Source organism: Homo sapiens, chromosome 10 (genome assembly GCF_000001405.40).
Source record: "Homo sapiens chromosome 10, GRCh38.p14 Primary Assembly".
Classification (NCBI taxonomy): Eukaryota; Metazoa; Chordata; class Mammalia; order Primates; family Hominidae; genus Homo; species Homo sapiens.
Genome location: NC_000010.11, coordinates 79,189,961 through 79,208,826, shown reverse-complemented (window position 1 = coordinate 79,208,826; position 18,866 = coordinate 79,189,961). Strand labels below are relative to the sequence as shown.

The 18,866-nt window shown below is 54.3% G+C and overlaps 1 protein-coding gene across 11 annotated transcripts in view, besides 5 other annotated features; it reads right to left on the bottom strand.

Annotated features, from left to right (window-relative positions):
* Positions 1 to 18,866, bottom strand: part of ZMIZ1 (zinc finger MIZ-type containing 1) — a 247,554-nt gene that overhangs the window by 107,693 nt on the left and 120,995 nt on the right. For all 11 annotated transcript variants that reach the window (XM_047425538.1, XM_047425539.1, XM_005269988.4 and 8 more), the window contains 2 exons: positions 7,135 to 7,243; positions 378 to 491 (listed from right to left, as the gene is read on the bottom strand). In XM_047425538.1, coding sequence (XP_047281494.1) covers positions 378 to 491; positions 7,135 to 7,194 — 174 coding nt within the window. In that variant the 5' untranslated portion in view covers positions 7,195 to 7,243. The remainder of the gene's footprint in view (positions 1 to 377; positions 492 to 7,134; positions 7,244 to 18,866) is intronic.
* Positions 2,478 to 2,527: an enhancer, noted in NCBI's record as "active region_3629". NCBI's record gives its function as "activates an Ori minimal core promoter by ATAC-STARR-seq in GM12878 lymphoblastoid cells {active_cell/tissue: GM12878}" and the evidence as "EXISTENCE:reporter gene assay evidence [ECO:0000049][PMID:35858748]".
* Positions 6,843 to 7,343: an enhancer, noted in NCBI's record as "H3K4me1 hESC enhancer chr10:80961241-80961741 (GRCh37/hg19 assembly coordinates)". NCBI's record gives its function as "activates a minimal SCP1, AML or CMV promoter by ChIP-STARR-seq in naive H9 embryonic stem cells {active_cell/tissue: H9 hESC(naive)}" and the evidence as "EXISTENCE:reporter gene assay evidence [ECO:0000049][PMID:30033119]".
* Positions 7,344 to 7,844: an enhancer, noted in NCBI's record as "H3K4me1 hESC enhancer chr10:80960740-80961240 (GRCh37/hg19 assembly coordinates)". NCBI's record gives its function as "activates a minimal SCP1, AML or CMV promoter by ChIP-STARR-seq in naive H9 embryonic stem cells {active_cell/tissue: H9 hESC(naive)}" and the evidence as "EXISTENCE:reporter gene assay evidence [ECO:0000049][PMID:30033119]".
* Positions 12,933 to 13,022: an enhancer, noted in NCBI's record as "active region_3628". NCBI's record gives its function as "activates an Ori minimal core promoter by ATAC-STARR-seq in GM12878 lymphoblastoid cells {active_cell/tissue: GM12878}" and the evidence as "EXISTENCE:reporter gene assay evidence [ECO:0000049][PMID:35858748]".
* Positions 18,093 to 18,627: an enhancer, noted in NCBI's record as "H3K4me1 hESC enhancer chr10:80949957-80950491 (GRCh37/hg19 assembly coordinates)". NCBI's record gives its function as "activates a minimal SCP1, AML or CMV promoter by ChIP-STARR-seq in primed H9 embryonic stem cells {active_cell/tissue: H9 hESC(primed)}" and the evidence as "EXISTENCE:reporter gene assay evidence [ECO:0000049][PMID:30033119]".

Sequence of the window (18,866 nt, the reverse complement as noted above, 5' to 3'; positions counted from 1 at the left end):
AAGCTCCATACATGTTTGCTAAGTGAATGAATGAATGAATGACTGGATAAAAAATGGCTGAAAACCCTTTGAGAGTTTCTCTACTGTGCTTATGATGGAACAGTGACCTGCAAAGTGAACACTGCGTCTTTCTCATCAAGTGTGGGAACCCACACAATCCCTAGGGACTGTGCCTCCTCATCAACTCCAGGTCCCCTGAGGGTGTGCACGTGGGGGACACACCAAATAGGGCCATCCCCCCAGCACCAGTGTCTTCCCAGCTCTCTCACTGGTGTCACCTCCCAATGTCTGACAACCTCTCTGAAACCTGGACAGGCACGCTAGCACTCAGCTGACCTTCCTGGGCAGGAATGCAGGCGGACAGGGTGCAGACTCACCGTCAAACAGCCCATCAGGCTCTGCTCGAAGGGCCGCTGGAAGGCCCGTGGGTCTCCGCACCAGTCCAGCAGCTCCGTGGCGGCATTGTGGAAGTTGGCAGGATTCTGTAAGTGCTGTGGGAAAGGAAAAGGAGGCGGCTGAGGCTCCAAGAGTGAGGGTAGCACAGGCAGCGTGTGGGGGTCTGGGGTGGGAAGAACCCAGCCTCACTGGGGAGGAGGTTCACAGAAAGGGGTAAAGGGGTAGCTGGGATCAGTAAGTTTCCTCATGCTCGATTTCACACCCTGTGCTCGGCATGCCTGCTCCCACCCCCCCCCACCCCCACCTCCACCCCACCTCCCCGATCCACCTCCACTCCACCCCCACCACCTCCACCCCCACCCTCACCTCCACCTCTACCCCCATCCCCACCCCAGTGGATTAGTAGCCCCATTGCAAAGACAGGAAAACCAAGGTCTAGAGAAGGCTGGTGACTAATAGCAGAGTGCTTTCTGGATGCTGGTGGGGGTGGCGGAAGGTGATCCCTGCAGGGTTCCGGGAGTTCTCCCTCCCTGATCCAGGACAGGTTGGCCCTGGAGATTCCTTCCTGACTGCCCAGCCACCGCCATCAAAGCCCAGGACTGGGCTCCCACCAGCTCTGGCTTTGGAGCCTGCTCTGCCCTAGCCACATAAGGTGATGGGTTGGGGGAGGCCACAGCCAGCTGGGAGGGTGAAGGAAGCACACGTGCCTGTACTGTCCTCACACTAGGGGCTGCTGTGTGTGACGTACTGGGCCCTGCCTGGGTCCGCTCAGAGGCTGCTGGCATGGTTGGGGAAGTCAGCCTGAGCTCAGGCCCCTGCCAGGCAGAGTCTGAGTCGATGGAGACTGAATTCTGGTGCCAGGGTGCTGGGCCTCCTGGTTCCGCTTCAGGCCCAGGCTGCAGGGCTGGTGGGGTGGGTGAGGTGCAAAGCAAAGGGGTGGTTCCCATGCCCCCCTTCACTCTTATCCGTCTCCTCAGGCCCTCTGAGTTGGGTACTGAGTCCAGGAGACAAAAGATGTGGCTAGGAGCAAGGAGCAGATTAGGGGCAAAGGTGAGATTCTGGGATGGGGCTCTGGCCCAATTTGGCTGTAACTGACTGTGTCCTCCTGAAGGACCCCTGGAGGGTGTCCACAGCACAGGAGTGTGAACCACTGCAGAGATGATGGCACCTCCTGAGGTCCCATTGCCTTGGTACTGGGAGAAACAACAGAACAGGAGCCACCCAGGGCAGTCCCTCCATTCGACCTGCAGCATGAGCCTGCCCCAGCGCCAGGGCAGGGAGGGGCCTAGGAGCCGCAGGGCCCAGAATTGGCAGGGGAGCTACGGGAATCCACACTCTGCCTTCACCCACTTTCAACCACTGACGTAGGATGGTCCCCTCAGCTCCCTGAGCCTCAGTAGCCTCATCTGTAAAATGGGGATATGACAGAACATGACTTGGTGGTGGGGTTTTATTTCTTTCGCTTAAGGTTCCGTGACTGTTGCTACAATGTAGTTCATGCGAGGCAAGGTATTTAAAAATGGGTGGAGGAAAGTGAAATGAAGGAGAATGTCCTCCTTCCATGGAAGTAAAGGGAGAGAAAGAGATGTAGGAGAGAAAGAGGGCAGGCAAGCAGCAACAAAGCCCTCCATCACGGGGCCGCAGTGAGGCTTAAACAAGATGAGGCTTATACAGCCCCTGGCAAAGTGCCTGGCGCGTGGGGTGCTCCCATGTGGGGCTGCCCTTGGCCCTGACTCTGTCTCCCAAAGGCTCTCCTGGAAGTACAGCTGCATGTGGCCGCTCTCAGCCCTGGCTCCTTCTGCAAAGGCAGTGCTCCCTGCATTTGAATTGTGTGAGACAGGAGTAATTTCAACATACAGAAACAAGCCCTTTGAGAGGGCAGCGGCGGGTCCTCACCTCTGCCTCCTGTGCCCTTTCTCTAAAGCATGCCCCTCAGAGGCCACAGGTGGTATCTAGGCTGCACGTGGAAAGCCATGCAAATCAGCTGATTCCTGCCCACCAGCCACCCCTGCTAACCGAGTTGTTCTGTTTATTTCAGTGATGTCACACCAAATTAGCAGGGGCAGGAGCCACTGCATGCTGCCTCAGAGCTGCCTGCCCCCAGCTGGTCACAGCACCCCACTTTGGGGCTCTGGGTGCAGGGGTAGCCTCTGAGGTCCATCTCAGAGGCCCAGTCTGGTTCTGGCACCCGAGTGCCCAGCCTTCAGTATCTCACCAGCGTTCAGAGCTCACCCCAGACAGCTTGTGTGGCCTGTAGGCTGTGGGTACACCTCATTGCTGAAGAAAACATCAAGTGTCCCCTTTGCTGGCTTTTTTTTTTTTTTGGACAGGGTCTCATTCTGTCACCCAGGCTGGGGGGTAGTGGTGCGATCATAGCTCACTGCAGCTTCAATCTCCTGGGCTCAAGTGATCCTCCCACTTCAGCTTCCCAAGTAGCTTGGATTACTGGTGTGCACCACCATGCCTGGCTACTTTTTGTTGTTGTTGTTAATTTTTAACAGAGACGACGTCTTGCTATGTTGCCCAGGCTGGTCTTAAACTCCTGAGCTCAAGCAGTCCTCCTACCACCGTCTCCCAAAGTGCTGGGAATACAATGATGGCTACTGTGCAGCTCTTTGGCCTTGGTCAAGCCCCCTCCCCTCTCTGTGCCCTTGTCACCTATTTCAACCAAGAGGTGACTGAAGTGCACAGAGAGACAAAGTGATCTAGTGAGATAAGCAGAACAGACATGGTCCAAACCCCGTCTCAGCTGCTGAGCCATGCAGCCCAGGAGACATTGCTGCACATCAGACCCTCATCTGTGAAACGGGGTAGTGATGGCATTCAGGGCTGCCGCAAAGTTGAGAAACGACAAGGAACTCATTACAGAGCAGGAGCCCAGGGAAAGACTGCTACTGCTGTTGATGCCAGGGCCCCTCCACGGTTCTCTGTTTCTCTTTTGAGCCTCCTGAGGGGAGAAACAGCCTCCTGTTCACCTCTGGAACCCCAAAGGCTGGCACAAGGCTGAACCCCATGGGAAATGATTGGGGAGCAGTTAACTGTCCAAAGGATGGTGAGCCTGCTGTGTAGGCCAGCAACATGGCCACTGCAGAATGAGCCCCAGTGGGAGGTGGAGGGAGGGGCCAGGGCAGGGCAGGGGTGAGCTTGGCCAGCCGTTGATGGGCTGGGGATGGGAGCACATGTTTGAATCATAGGCAGAGGCCTCCCTAATTATGGCTGTTACTGGACACTAGTACTCTGTCCCCCATCAGAAAGCCTGCCCATCTCTATAATTCCTCAGAAGAGTTGGGCTATATCCAATGCCATTGAGTCTGCTGGGGCAGGAACAGGGCACACCAATGCCTTGAAATGATGAATTCATCTTATCAATCCATCTGTCCACCAGTCCATCTGTGAATCAAGTGATTCATCCATTCATCCATCTATGCGTGTATCCATCCATCCATCCATCCATCCATCCTAAATGAATCAATTCATCCATCTGTCTCCTTGCCAGCCCACCCATTCATCCATTCACCACTTTATCCACCACTCATCCATCCCTTCATTCATCTACCTATCTACCCATTCATCCAGAAGTTAATTTATCCAGTCACCCACCTATCTGTTCATTCATCTATTTATCCATTCATCATCTATACACGTCCACCCACCCACCCATCTAACTATCTGCCCATATGTCCATCCATCCATTCTCTTATGTATCCATCTATCAGTCCACCCCTCTCCTCAGCCCACCTAAAATAGCTGGGCCCCACTCTGAGCTGGATGCTATGCTAGACTCTGTGATTTTGAGATGAATATGGCATGTCCTTTGCCCCCAAGGAGCTCAACCTGGTGGGAGACCTGATGTATTCCTACAGGGCCCATAGCTCCAGAGAGACAGAGCAGAGTAGGTGAGACAGCTGGGTGCCCAGGAAGTGTTCAAGCTCAGGGATGGGGTACAGATGCTCAGAAGGGCCCCTGGGGTTCAGGGCAGCTGCTGAGCAGGAATGAGCTGATTTGCAGGGCTCTCCATGTAGAGCTGGGATGTGGCAGTGATCTCTGAGAAGGGCATGTTGCAGAGAGGGAGCACTGGTTCTCCCAGTACCAAGAGGCTGAGAAGGGGCAAAGGCAGCTTAGATAGAGGCTGTGAGGGGACATGGGCAGCAGGGTGCAGAGGGTGGGGGTTGGTGAACGCCAGCAAAGGCTACAACCAAGGTGAGGGCAGGAAGGGAAGGCTGTGTGGAGAGGTGAGCCCCTACCAGCCTGAGGTCTGCACAGCTCGTCATCTCAGCTCGTGCACACATGCTTGCCTTTCTCTTCTGATTAGGTTACAGGATGCCTGAGAATCAACAGTCCCCAGCCAGCCGAGGCTGACTTCTAGGGCAGCTGTGGAGCAGACAGATGTCAGCACTGAGCTGTGTCTGACCGGAGATGTGGGAGGAGGGGCATGGAGCACGTAGGGAGCTCTGGATGGCCCAGGGGGCATCTGGGCACACTCACAAATGCGCCACTGCCTGGCTCAAAAGCAGAGCCCTCTGTGTGTGTGCACGCATGTGTGTGCCGGGGCAGGTGAGGGAGGGTGGTGTGGGCTCTGGCATGTGCTGGTTGAATGTGAATTAATTATGATGCCCATTTTATAGATGAAGGGAAGTGAAGCGGCAACTTAAGGCTGCATAGTTTGTAAGCGACGGAATGGTGACTGAGCTGTGTGCCATGCTGTGAGGGGCTTCTGGTGGGCCTCTGCCCAAGATGGACCCAGGGAGGGCCAAAGAAGTCAGGTGCACCCTGACCCCTGGTGATACGGAGCTAGGTGCCAAGAGGAAAGAGGCTGAGAGCAGGTCTCGGCAGGAGTGGTGTGCCTGCCATGCAGAGGGTCCCATGCACAGGAGGCATGAGCATTCCATTGGAGGGCGGGGCCCCTGCCAGCTGAGCCAAGGGTGGGAGAAACGGAGTGAAAGGTAGAGCTAGGAAAGAGCCCTGCAGAACCCTGAGTGGGAGGAGGGAGTGTGGGGGAGGAGGGAGTCTTGGCGTCTGGTTTCTATTCTGCCACGGTGAACAGAGGCGTGTAATTGGCGTTTGGGAGAGCCATTTGGGCTGGGTTCAATCTGTAACAAGCCTTCTTCAATTTCCTCTCCACATACCCTGCATAGACTTTAAGATTCCTCTGCTCGATGCTAATAAGAAGACACACAACCCTCGTTCTCGAGGAACAGCCTCAGTTCCACTGGGCAGGCACCTTGGGGAGGCTCCGTCTGGGTCCTGGCCCTCAAGGAGGGAAGGCTGGGTGGGTAGGGGGCTGTGAGTTCTGCCTGGCGGAAGCCCAGGGGCCAGCAGCCCATGCTGGTTGCCTGAGCTTCCTGCTAAGCTGGCCTAGGCCAGGGGCCTGAGCCCCAGCACTCCCTTCCCTGTCACTGACATACTGAGGACAATGGACACCACACACCAGGGCTGGGCTACGTGCATCACCCACAACATCCTCACAGCATCCTACGAGGTAGGCCCCATTTGACAAATGGGGAAGCTGAGGCTCAGAGAAATGGAGGACTAGCTTGAGATCTCACCATGGGTCCATAAAGGAATGAGCACTTGGGTCCAAGGCGTCTGACACCAAAGCCCATGCCCCTCTCACTGTACCTGGTCCTTCCTGGAGTGAATAACATTCGTGGGTCTGTGCAGGGAAGCTGCCAGCCTGGGCAGTGGGAGCTGGGCCCAGCAGGTGGGCACGTCACTCCTGGCCACCGCTTGGGGGCGCCCCTGTGAAAGGTTCCCCACCTCCCGGCAGTCCAAATAGGGGAACTCCTGGGCAGCTTGCCTCTTGGGCTTGGTATGAGCTTCAGCAGGGTGGGGACCATGGCACTCACTGGAATTAGGTCTTCCCAGCACCAGAGGGGCTGAGTGGACTCAGGCTACCCACTTCCCCTCTCTGTACTTGTTTCCTTTCCTGTAAAATGATATGATTTCCTAGGACCTCTTGTCTTGTGGCTTTTTTTTTCTTTTTTTAAAAAATACAGATGGGGTCTCACTATGTTGCCCAGGCTGGTTTCAAATTCTTGGCTTCAAGTGATCCTCCTCCCTTAGCCTCCCAAAGCGCTGAGATTACAGGTGTGAATCACTGGGTCCAGCCTATAATGGGTTCTTATTTTTAAATAAATTAGTAAATATTTTTAAATTTTCTCAGCTTTAATTTCTTTTCTTTCTTTCTCCCTCCTTCCTTCCTTCTTTCTTTCTTTCTTTTTTTTTTTTTTTTTTTTTTTTTCTGAGACAGGGTCTTGCTATGTTACCCAGGCTGGGCTCGAACAATCTTCCTACCTTGGCCTCTCAAAGTTCTGGGATTACAGGCGTAAGCTGCCACACCCAGCCTGTGACTTTTTTTTTTTTTTTTTTTTTTTGAGAACGACTGGAGCAAAGGGGCAGGGAGCTTAGTTCTAGGGAGGGAGGTGGTGGGAGAGAGATGGAAGTGCCAGGTGCATCACTACATCCTTGCACATAAACAGAGCCCAGAGAGGCCACAACACTGGCCCAACGTCACACAGCTGGGAAGGGTGTGGAAAGGGACAGGGCAGCATTGGCACTGAAACCCAGGCATGTGATTCCAGCATTAGGCTGGTCAGTGCCAGCATGCCAATAACGGCCTCGATAGGTAGGTGGTCAGGAGGCCCTGCCATCGTCTCCAGCCAGAACCCACCAGATGCCCTGCTGCTGCAGCCCGCCCCATCTGCCCCGCCCTCGGAGTGTGCCTTGCCCCACACCCACCTGCTTGATGCACTGCAGTCGGTCATTGGTCTGCTGGATGTGCCTGTCCATAGAATTCATTCTGGCCGTTTCACTAGGTTCTACCCGAGAGCCATGAACGTTGTCCAGCCTGCGAAGAGAAAGGAGAGGTTGTCACTGGATCACGCCAGGCCTGCCAACCTTGAGCAGCCTCCCAACTGCCCTCTGGCCACAACACTGGCAGGTTCCAGAGTCCTTTGCTGGGCCCTGTGGGGCTGCACCTGGGGTACCCCACTGGGCTGAGGGCAGGAAATGCTTCTGGGTGCTTTCCATGTGTGGCACATGTGAGCACTGGGCAGGCATGCCCACCAGGGGATAAGGAACTGCACATGCAGGTGCACACATTTCTTCTCTTTTCTTTTTTTTGAGATGGAGTTTTGCTCTTGTCACCTAGGCTGGAGTGCAATGGCGCGATCTCGGCTCATTGCAACCTCTGCCTCCCAGGTTCAAGCGATTCTCCTGCCTCAGCCTCCTGAGTAGCTGGGAATACAGGTGTCTACCACCACACCCGGCTAATTTTTGTATTTTTAGTGGAGACGGAGTTTCACCATGTTGGCCAGGCTGGTCTCGAACTCCTGACCTCAGGTGATCCGCCCACCTCAGGCTCCCAAAGTGCTGGGATTACAGGTGTGAGCCACCACGCCCAGCCAGGTGCACACATTTCTGTATGCGCATGTGTGTTTTGGGTGGTGGAGGGGGTGGCAATTCCCCTTGGATTCCTGGTTCAGGGCTTGGCCCACGTGTGTGTGTGTACGTGTGTATGTGTGTGTGTGTTCATACATGTGCATGCAGGGGGACCTTCCCATATGACGACCCTCAGTGCACATGCACATGCACATGTGCTCTGAGTGGAGATCTCAGGTGGCATCTGCCCTCCCCCAGTCCCTCAGGCTTTGAGTTGTTCATAATTTACAAACCACTCACAACTCTGTTGTTTTCACTTTGCCCTCCTGGAAAAGGAGGATAAGAATGAGCACCACACCCATTTTCTAGATAAAGAAACTGAGGCTGAGAGACAGAAAGGGAAAAGCCAGGGTGGCACATCAAGTGGTGTCTGAGCCCACACCAGGAGCCAGGGTTCCTGACTGCCAGCCCGCGGTTTCCACTGTGCAAGGCTGACAGTGCGGGTGCAGGGATGGCTTGGCACTAGGCTCACCCTTCCTGAAGTGCAGGAGAAGGGAGTGCTCAGGGCCATTAGCATGAATGGGACTTCCCTCTGGATGACAGAGCTAAGTGGAGGAAGCTCCTTCGGCTCGAAAAAGCCCTGGGAGTCCCCAGGCCGCTCCAGGGAGGCCACACAGCAAAGGCGGGGATCTAGGTAGAGAGAGGAAGGACTGTACAGCCCTAGTCCACCCACTGTTAGGGGTCCAGGTCCTTGGGCCAAGGCAGAAGACTGCCCGCTGCCAGTTCGATTTGCCCTCCTGCCCCCAGTGGACAGTTCAGGCTGCAGACACTTGGATCACACCCAGGGTGCTGGACAGGAGACCTGGGGCCCTAAGCCTTCCCTGCTACTCTGTCGCACTCCCCACTAAAGACCCCTCATCTCTGGCCATGTCAGCCAGGACTTTTCACGTGCTGGACACCTGCATTCTCTCCTTTCCTTTTCACACACACTCTCTAAGGCCAGGATCATCTCCATTTTAGAGATGAGGAAACTGAGGCCCCAGATGTGCCAAGTCCTCGCAGCTGGTGGAAGTGTAGGTTGTGTCTGCCTGCCTGTCTGCCTGTCTGCCTTCTACACACGCTTGTTGAGGGACCCAACACCATTGCCTGGCCCCAGCCTTTGGAAGAAAGTCCTGTTCCTCCTCCAATTGCTTTAAAGGATGTGTAGCTCTTGGTGCAATTCTCATTGCTCCATGTGTGTCTGAACAGGTAATTCATTTGCATGGTTCAAAAATCAGAAAGTCCACAAAGATATCGAGTCCTGGGTCCAGACCCCGTCCCCAGTCCCCTGGTGCCCTTTCTAGGAGAACCAGTGCCATCAGTCCCCCTTCTGGAGAGTCTCATCTAGAAGCAAATATCTACACACACTATTTCTTGCCACATTTTTAAAAACATAAAATAATAACATTCTATACACATTATTTGGATGTTGCTTTCTTTTCCCCCCTCTTGATGATACATCTCAAAGTTTATTCCACATCAAGACACAAAGAACTTTTTTTTTTTGAGATGGAGTTTCACTTTGTCGCCCAGGCTGGAGTGCAGTGGCGCAATCTTGGCTCACTGTAACCTCTGCCTCCCAGGTTCAAGCGATTCTCCAGCCTCAGCATCCCAAGTAGCTGGGGCCACAGGTGCTGCCACTATGCCTGGCTAATTTTTTGTATTTTTAGCAGAGACGGGGTTTCACTGTGTTAGCCAGGATGGTCTCAATCTCCTGATCTCGTGATTCCCCTGCCTCGGCCTCCCAAAGTGCTGAGATTACAGGTGTGAGCCACCACGCCTGGCCACCTTTTCATTTTTTAATGGCCGCACAGTATTCCTAGGTATGATGAAGCATTATCCAACTAACATCTGCCCATCGCCCCCTGCCAGGTGCTGTTCTAAGGCTTGAGCCCTCAGACAAGGCCCCTCTGCTCTGGGGGCTCACACTCCAGCCTGAAACGAGGGACCCTGAAGCTTTTTCCAATTTTTTTTTTTTTGAGACTGAGTCTCGCTCTGTTGCCCAGGCGGAGTGCAATGGCGTGATCTTGGCTCACTGCAGCCTCCGCCTCCCAGGTTCAAGTGATTCTCCTGCCTTAGCTTCCCAAGTAGCTGGGATTACAGGCGCCTGCCACCACGCCTGGCTAATTTTTATATTTTTAATAGAGATGGGGTTTCACCATACTGGCCAGGCTGGTCTCGAACTCCCGACCTCAGGCAATCTGCCCACCTCGGCCCCCCAAAGTGCTGGGATTACAGGCGTGAGCGACTGCGCCCGGCTCCAAATTTTTATCATTGCAGTGCTGCAGGAATAACCGTTCACATCGGCACATCACACGTGTGTGAATTAGTCTAGAGAACATAGGCTCAGAAGTGGAGTTGCTGGGTCATCTGGGAATTTGTATTTTTGATAAGTGCTTTCTGGAGCTCTACAGCAAGAAGGGGAAAGTGGGGGTTGTACCCATATTTATTTCTTCCACCCTCACCCTGCCAACCATCCCTCCATTCATCCCACCCACCACCTATCACACATGTCACACCCTGAAGCCCAATTTCTCCACCCATCATTTATCTATCGAAATACCTGCCTGGGGAAGGAGGAGGGGGGTGAGGGAGCATCCAAAAAGAAAATTTAAAAATAAATAAGTAACAATAATAAAAACAAATGCCCGCCTGTTCACCTGTCTACTCATCCACTCAAACATCTTTAGTCTCCACTTGCTCATCTGTACATGCTTCTTCTCTCCAAGAAATGCTTTTTTGTTTGTTTGTTTGTTTTTGAGACAGAGTCTGTCGCCCAGGCTGGAGTGCAGTGGCGTGATCTCCACTCACTGCAAGCTCTGCCTCCCGGGTTCACGCCATTCTCCTGCCTCAGCCTCCCGAGTAGCTGGGACTACAGGCGCCCACCACCACGTCCGGCTAGTTTTTTGTATTTTTAGTAGAGATGGGGTTTCACCATGTTAGCCAGGATGGTCTCGATCTCTTGATCTCGTGATCCACCCATCTCAGCCTCCAAAAGTGCTGGGATTACAGGCGTGAGCCACCACACCTGGCCAAAATGCTTTTTAATAACGACACTGTGCGGGGTCCTAGGCCAGATGGGTTGGGCGTGCGGAGATTAAAATGAAATCATTTTCTTGTGTTCAAGGAACTCTTGGTCCAAGCCCACATTTACCTACTAGATGACCATGTGCTGAGCTCCTCCTATGAGTCAGGTACTGGTCCAGGCACAGCACAGATAAGAAAATGTAGTTACATCCCCATTTTACAGATGAAGAAACTAAGGCTTGGAGGTTACAGCTTGTTGGATAGGAGCCAGCTCTAGAATCCTGGCTTTCCCTTTACAGTTTTTACTCTTGAACAGGTCCTGGGGAGGGGACAGGGTACAGGTGTGTGTGTGTGTGTGTGTGTGTGTGTGTGTATGTGTGTGTGTGTGTATGGTCTGGGTTGGCAGGGGCGTAATCAGGGCAGCTCCGCTTGCTACTTCTGTAGGTCACCCAAGCGGGAGCTGTATTTGTCCTCCTGAGTTTACCCACACAGACCCTCAGCCAGCATCCACATGACAAAGGCTCCTGGGGTCAGGGACAAACCATGGTGTGGAAGACAAGGACACAGAGAGCCCAGAGCAGGAGCAAGACAGTGCCACCTTCAGCAAGGCCATCTCAGTTCCTGGTGCCAGGCCCCATCAGAGCCAAAGGACCCTGGTGGTCTCCCAGGCACCATGTGATACCCATGCGGCAGTGAAGGCCTGGGTCCCACGTGGGGGCATGGGTGAACACTGGTAGCCAGGGTTCCAATAGAGAATTCAACTTTCACAGCCAGCCAGGACAGGGAGACCCATCCCACAAAGGCCTGGGTTGGCTCAGCTCCTAGCTGGAGGAGACAGAAGAGAAGTACAAAGAAACCTCATGCCCGGCAGGCCTTCATCCTGCTGTCGGCAGGCCACTGCCCACCAGGACAAAGGGCCACCGGTGGCCCAGGCAGCCAGCAGGGGGCGCTGTTGACAAACCTAAGTGACCTGGGGGCCAGACCTGCACACTGTGGAGGTTCCAGGTGTGCTTCCAGGCCCTCCGTCCTCTCCCTCACTCCAGTGAGCACCCAGGTGTCCCCAGCCAGGATGGACTTCGAGTGGGCTTCTCTGGTTTCCTGGCCTTGGTTTCCCCATCTGCAGAACAGGATGCTGCAGAGGGGCAAGTCAGTGACCCATAAGGGTCTACCTCTCAAGAGGAACTTTCTCCTGACATTGTGTCCGGGGGCAGAGCCCGGTGGGCCTTGATAAATGCTTGTTGCCTGGAAGCCCCAAGCAGGCACAGGAGCTTAGATCCACCCAGCTGGCGACCACAGGGCTCAGAGGCAGTTCTTTTCTGTTTAGTCATAGCGGGGGCCCAGGTCCTGCTTTAAGAAGTTAACAGCAAACTGGGAGATGGGACTGTCCACCTTCGGGCTGGCCCCACGTGGGGTCACGGGCAGTCTTGTCTGGAGGCCGGCGGCTGGACTGAACTGGCTTCTGGACAGAAAGATTCCTGGAATATTAAGGGCCGAAGGTGCTTTCAGGTCCCCTATCTACCCGCTCTGCCTCAACTGGTTTTACTCTGAGGAGCCTGGGGCCCATCAGTGTTTTGTTCAAGGCCAAGGGGCACTGGGCTGGGTCCAGGTCCCAGGGGGGCTTTGCTCCCAGGCAGGGCTGCAGCTCACAGGAACCGAGGGGTGAGTGTCTGGGCTTGCAACACCTGTGAGACCCAAGGGTGGGTAGATGGATGGCAGGAGGGACATCGCAGACCACAGGGACAGCGCTGTGTCCTGTGTTTCTTAATAAAAGAACAAATGGCTAGCGGATTATGGAGGCACCTACAGGTGAGGTGACATTTTTAAACTGTTGAGGTCAATGATGGAGAACTGCGGTTACTAACCCCAGGAATGGAGGAGATGGAGGCTCCAGTCTCTGGAGTAAAAGGGTCAAAGGCCTAGAGAGCAAAGGGTCTCAGGCATAAAGAGAGGAAGGGTGCGCTGAGGGAGGCATGCAAGAGACAGCTTGTTGAGGGGCAGGCTGGGATCTTCCATTTGTTCTACACCTGCTATGTTCAGGCACCAGGCCAGGCCCTATGCAGTGCTAATTTTCTTCATCCTTAAAAGGCTCAGAGAGGTGAAGCAAATTGCCCAAGGTGACACAGCCGGAAAGCTGCTGGGCTGAGATTCAAACCCTCTACCTTTCCAGCTGTTAATGTGCTGTTCTTTGCACTCCCCATGACTGGCAGTCAGAGCTTCCTGGTAGTCCCCACCTCCGGCTGTGACTGGGCCCCAGGAGATGACCTTCTTGTTCCACCCAACCTGCCCAAATCCAGTCACTTACATCACTGGGCTCCCTGCACACCGGCCACCTTTGGGAGGTGACACGCACCTGGTGGCCAGCAGAGGTCGCCCTTCGCCACAAGAGCGCCACTCAGCTGGGCCGCTGCCTCCGCCTCCGGGCTCCTGGACTCCTTTAAGCCTTTACAAGTCGCTACAAATCCTCCGTGGCTGCAGCTCTATAGCCGGAGAGGCCGGGCTCCCGCCCAACAGATCACTGTCGGCCTGGCCCCAGGTGCACCCGTGGCCTCAGCCCTTCCTACTGCCCCTGAATGGGGGGTGAGACCAAGCAGGCTACCCCCATCCCGGCTCAGGACCCCCGCCATGTCTCCTGGTCAGAGCAGCCAGGAGCCATGCAAAGCTAATCAGCATGGGGGATCAGGACCCTGCTTTGCTGAGTGAATAGGGCAGAGAGCTGGACCTCCATTTCGCTGTCTGCAAAGCACAGGATCGGGCTGGCCAGCCTTTGGCAGCCTGTCAAATACCAGCCTCTTAGGATTCCCTGTGAGGAGCTCCGGCTGTTCAGAAAACACCATCCCCACAAGAGGAGAATGCCTGCTTTTGAAGCTGCAAAGCCTGTCCCAAGGCAGGTCCATGGGGAGGCTGAAGGCCCGGCAGCCCCGGGAGCTGTTCTTCCAGGGCAGCCCAAGGCCAAGACGCTGCCCCTTTCACAGCTCTGTGCTTCTTCTTGCACCTTACGCTTGGCTGGGCTTAGTTGGGCAAATGGAAGTTTTTGGATGGTAACATGGGGTCAGCTCGGTCTTCCCAACTCCCGTGGGACGTCTTTCGGGACCAAGCTTCCATTTACACTTCTCACCACCCAGCAGAGCGAGGGTGTCTATGCTTAGCGGCGCCTGGTGCAGAAGACTAGTTCAAGAAAAGTTAGCGGCTATTATGTATAGAGGGCTGCTTGGAGGATAGAACGTTGAGAGCTGAAAAGGCCTGGGAACACCTGCCTCATGCCCTCATGCAGCAGGGTGGGAAGCGGAGGTGGGGAGAGGAAGAGGACACGGAGGGCATCGTGAGCAGAGCTGGGCTGGAGCCCCTCTGACAGGTCCAAATAGAGCCCTGGATATCTCTGGGCTGCCAAGTCAGCAAGGAGAGAAGCATCTCAACGGTCTCAACGGCTGGGGGAGGCAAACAGCCCTCAGGGGGCTCCTCACTGGACACAGGGATGAGGTGCTTCTAGCTGCCCCACAGAAATGTGGAGCTCCACAGGCAGCTAGCTCCCAAGGGTGGCAGCCAACCGAACAGTCAGCTGTCCCAACACAAGTGTTTTATTTCCCACCTTTGAGGCCTCACTAGTTCATCAGTCCACATAATGCACACGCACCCAGAGAGAGGCGTCTGCACAGCACACGTGTGCATAGGCACATACACATGTGACCCCTTGCATACTTCACAGCAGGTATGTGCACATGCTGGATGCCAACACAGATGCACTTGAGCACACACATCTCATGACAGCTTGCACAGGCAAGTGGGGGTCCCCGGGGAGCTGTGTGAGCAGTGGTGTGCAGAAATGATTCAATCACCATGCACATCTGCAGCTTAGGTCCCCTGGGGCAAGCGGTGCCAGTGGCAGGAGTGGGCAGCTCTGCCTACAGCCCGCGAGCAGAGGCTGCGTTCCAAGACACAGCCAGAAGGGAAAGCCTAGGGGTCCAGAGGACATCCCAGACAGCCCCTTCATCAGCCTTAGACTCCCAAAGGGACAAACTTCATGAGCCCTGGGCTCAGCAATGACCTGCCAACCTGCACATGTCAGCATCAGTTGGGATCCTTTTCGGCCTGGCCCCTAGCCCTCACTACTCTCAGTCACATCCCTTGTCCCCAACGTGGGGCTGCTCCCTGCCTCCCGGACTGTGCTCTGAAGATCGCACCTCCATGTCTTTGCCTCTGACTGTCCCTCTGCCCGCAATGCCTGGACACCTCCCATCCATCAGGGTATGGCTCAACTGTCACTCTTTCGTGCTCTTTCTTGGTTTCCATCCCTATCCCCTCCATGTCGCTGTCACACACCCCCATCGTAGCAGCACTAGATGAGGGCTGACTCCTTGCAACTGTCTCTCCATCAGCTGGAATGTCTTCCAGTTACAGATCCCTTAGTCTAGCCCAGGGCTCCGTACTCAGCAGGTACTCATTAGATGGGTGAACAGGCAGGTGGACGCACGCCCATTGCTGGGTGTACATGAGAACCAGGGTGGTGAGAGCTGAAAAACCCATCACCCAGCCATAATCAGAAGATCCTAGGACTCAGAGAGACACTGGTTACCCCGTTGAGGGTTCCCAAAGAGAGATACATGTACTTCTGGTGGGATAACGATGACTTTAGAAGGTCCATGGACAAACCTTTTACATTCTCATAGTGAAGTTTTTGGACTGATGAGTTCATGAATGTTATTATTTAGCATGCAGTTAAATTAGGTAGCAATAGCAGACCTAAGTGAATTAAAGAATTGTTTTAAACATAGTATGAACGGAATGAAAGTGACCAAGGTTAGGCAAGCACTGATGTAGACTGATGACTTCCTCACCTTAAAGGTAATGAGTAGAAGCTCAGAGAGGTGTGGAAGCTGCCTGTGGTCACGTCGCAGGTGGCTCGCGCATTCCCAAACCTCGGTAGCCTGCACCAGGCACACGGGCTGGATGCAGAGGAAGAGGGTGGTGGTGAAGCAAGGACAGTAGGAGAGTGACTTTGTGCCCTACCTCAGGGAAGTCAGAAAGAAGGGCAGAGAGACAGGAGACGAGATGGGGAGAGGGATGGAAGAGGCAGCTCCGGGCAGCTGCACAGGGCCAGCTGCTTCCAGCTCTTAGCAGGACAACTGGAGCAGGCCCTCGGGCCAGCGTGAGTCATTGCACAGGGTGGGGCCCCTGGGTAGGCAGTGGTCCTGAGAGCCAGACCTCCTGGCTATGAGGTTGTGGGAGGGTATTTCACCTTCCTGAGCCTGCATCCTCATCTGTCAAGCAGGAAAGTCCATCTCCTCCCTGCCCCACTGTGTTGAGGAGCTGAGCAAATGAATACTTAGGGGACAGTGTTTTAAAAAGTGAAATTCTGCATTCGGACCACAACTCTTCAGAATTCAGTCCCTCCTTCCTCAACCAGGGCAGTGCTCCTGTGCCAAGACTTGACACGGCTCCACACTGCCCCACCAGAGTTCAGATGCTTTGGCTTGGCACTCAAAGCTTCCGGAAGGGTGGACCCACTTCTCTTCATGATCCAATCTCCCAACACCCATCCTTGTTCACGGGAACACCCATTGTCAATGCTGGCTAGTGGGATAACATAATGTAACCTTGGCATTTCAGAGTGGGGGCTTCATGACAGTCAGCCCCACACAGCTATGCCTAGCAACCTGCCCTGGGACACAGAAGTTAATTCAGAAGTGACAGTTTCCTGGGGAAACACTCAGTGATGTGGCCCTGACAAAGGGGCCAGCCCACTGACCCAACCCACACAGGGCTGGGATCCTAGCTGCATTTGGTGTGCCTTGTCTTTCTGGGCACATGGCACTTTAGAGGAGGCCATGCCCTTGAGGCCAAACCCCCCTGCCATCCTCTGGCCATACTCCAAATCCCTGACCTCACAGTGAACTTTCTCTGACAGCTTCTCTTCCCCAGAGGCAAAGGAGGGTTGGATTCAGCTCTGGAGAAGGCCCCTTGGGCTTTCTCTCATTCCCAAGGAGGCCACACCCCTACACTTTGTTTCCTCAGAGTGGAAAGAGGTACTGAACAACTATCAAACCTATATGTGCTAAACACTAGGTTCTCTATGTCACATCAGTTAAGCCTCAAAACTCTATATGCTGGTCCAATTATTATTACAGTACTACAGGTGAAGAAACAGAGGCTACTACAGATGAAGAAACTGAGCCTCTGAGAGGTGCAATGATTTGCTTAGGGTCACACTACTGACAACTGCCAGGATTTGAATCTAGGTCTGATTACAAAGCCCATGTTTTTCTGTATCATGTTTTCCATGGGAATATGGCAGACCTCCCTCAACTAGACACTGCCTTCCCCAGCCCCAACTTCCCTGAGTGAGAGGAAGGTGACTAGCACTGCTGTGGAGTGCTGAGGATGGTGAAGATAGGGAGTCACAGGCCCGTCCAGTGCTGGGCCCAGGCCACAAGCCTCTCCCAGGATAGCAGTGCTCATGCAGTGTCCCTGTCCTGGCTCTGCCTCAAGGCTCTTGTCTGTGACTCCAAAGGCTCAGATGCCATGAAGTGGGGAAGAGAGGGGTGAGAACAGTTACCCGAGGGCCCTTGGAGGATATAGGGAAGGATGTGACTGTAGACAGAGGCAGGACCCCCCCCGACCACCAGCTGGTGCCCTCTAGAAGGCTGTAAATACCTAGCAGATGTTCCTACACCCTGGCTCCAGGAATGGAGGTATTCTCCATTGTCCCCTCCCTACCCCCAGCTCCCCAAGGCTCCAAATCCCACCTGGCATTCTGCAGGAGCTCCAAATAGGGGCAGGATTAATGGCATCCCCCAGGAAGAGTTAGACAGAACTAGATCAGCCCTTAAGGACCAGCTGGCATAGGGATGGTAATGCTCTGGTATGCAAGAGGTGGAGGTGGCATCCATACAACCCTCCACCTCCCACACCCATAGCAGGCATGGCTAATCAATCACTGCACTCTCCCAGCCAATCCTCCACATACACTTCTGCACAGCCATTGTTAACCACCTGGTACCAACACATGAGATGAAGTCTTCTAGGTGGTCTATTTTTGAAAAGGCAGTGAACAGAGGCCAGAGAGGGGAGGGCTTAGCTTGAGGCCACCAAGCAGATCCACATGCAAACTTCCCGTTTCCTGACTTTGTGCTCTTTACCCTAAACTGAGAGTCACAGCCAGGTTCTTTTCAAGCTAAGAGCCTCTATGGATGGGTGGGCCTATTTCAAGCAACCTTATATCACAGTCTCACAGTAGCCTGCAAACAAGTATTATTTCAGTTTGTGGATGAGAAAGTTGAGGCTCTGAGTGGGTAGGTGATTTCTACCTAGCCACACAGGGGGTGTGAATGACCCAGGGCAGTGGCTGCTCCTCCTGAGCCCATGAGTGTACTCCTTTAGTTAGCTGCTCTTCACTGTTAGTATATATATATTTTTTAATTTCTAAAAAACCAAAAAATTGGGGAAACAGAGGAATCAGAAGGCAGACATTTACTTGAGCTAAAAGTGGTAGATGGAAAAACAATGAAAAGTCCTCATGGCTTAGATCTGGAAGTGATCTGGGATCTGCGCAGGCCTATCCTAACATTTACAGATGAGGAAACGGAGGCCTGAGGCAGGGAGCGTAGAGCAGAGCCTTGAAGGCCCCACTGTGGATCCGAGGCAGGGTCAGGGCCCACACCCAGGCCTCAGGAGCCCCAACTGCCCCAACCACATCCAGTCCACCCCTGCTGATGCCTGCCCAGGCCAGGCCTGTGGTCAGCCCACAGACAGCTCAAACGGGCCTGCCCTGGGGAGCTCCAAGCCGCCTTGGGGGTTGGGGTGGGGTAGGACAGGGTGCCCATGCCAAGTGTGATGGGAACAGGGGCTTGGCTCTTACTAGGAAGCAGCTATGCTTCTCCCTGCAGAGGCCCTGGGCAGCCCCCACAGCTCCCTATGGAGATTTCTAGCATCCCTAGATCCGGGGGTGGGAGCTGGGCTGAGGCTGGCACAGTGATTCATCAAGCTCTACTCTCCAGAAAGCCCATGGCATGGGAGGGGCGTGCGTCAGC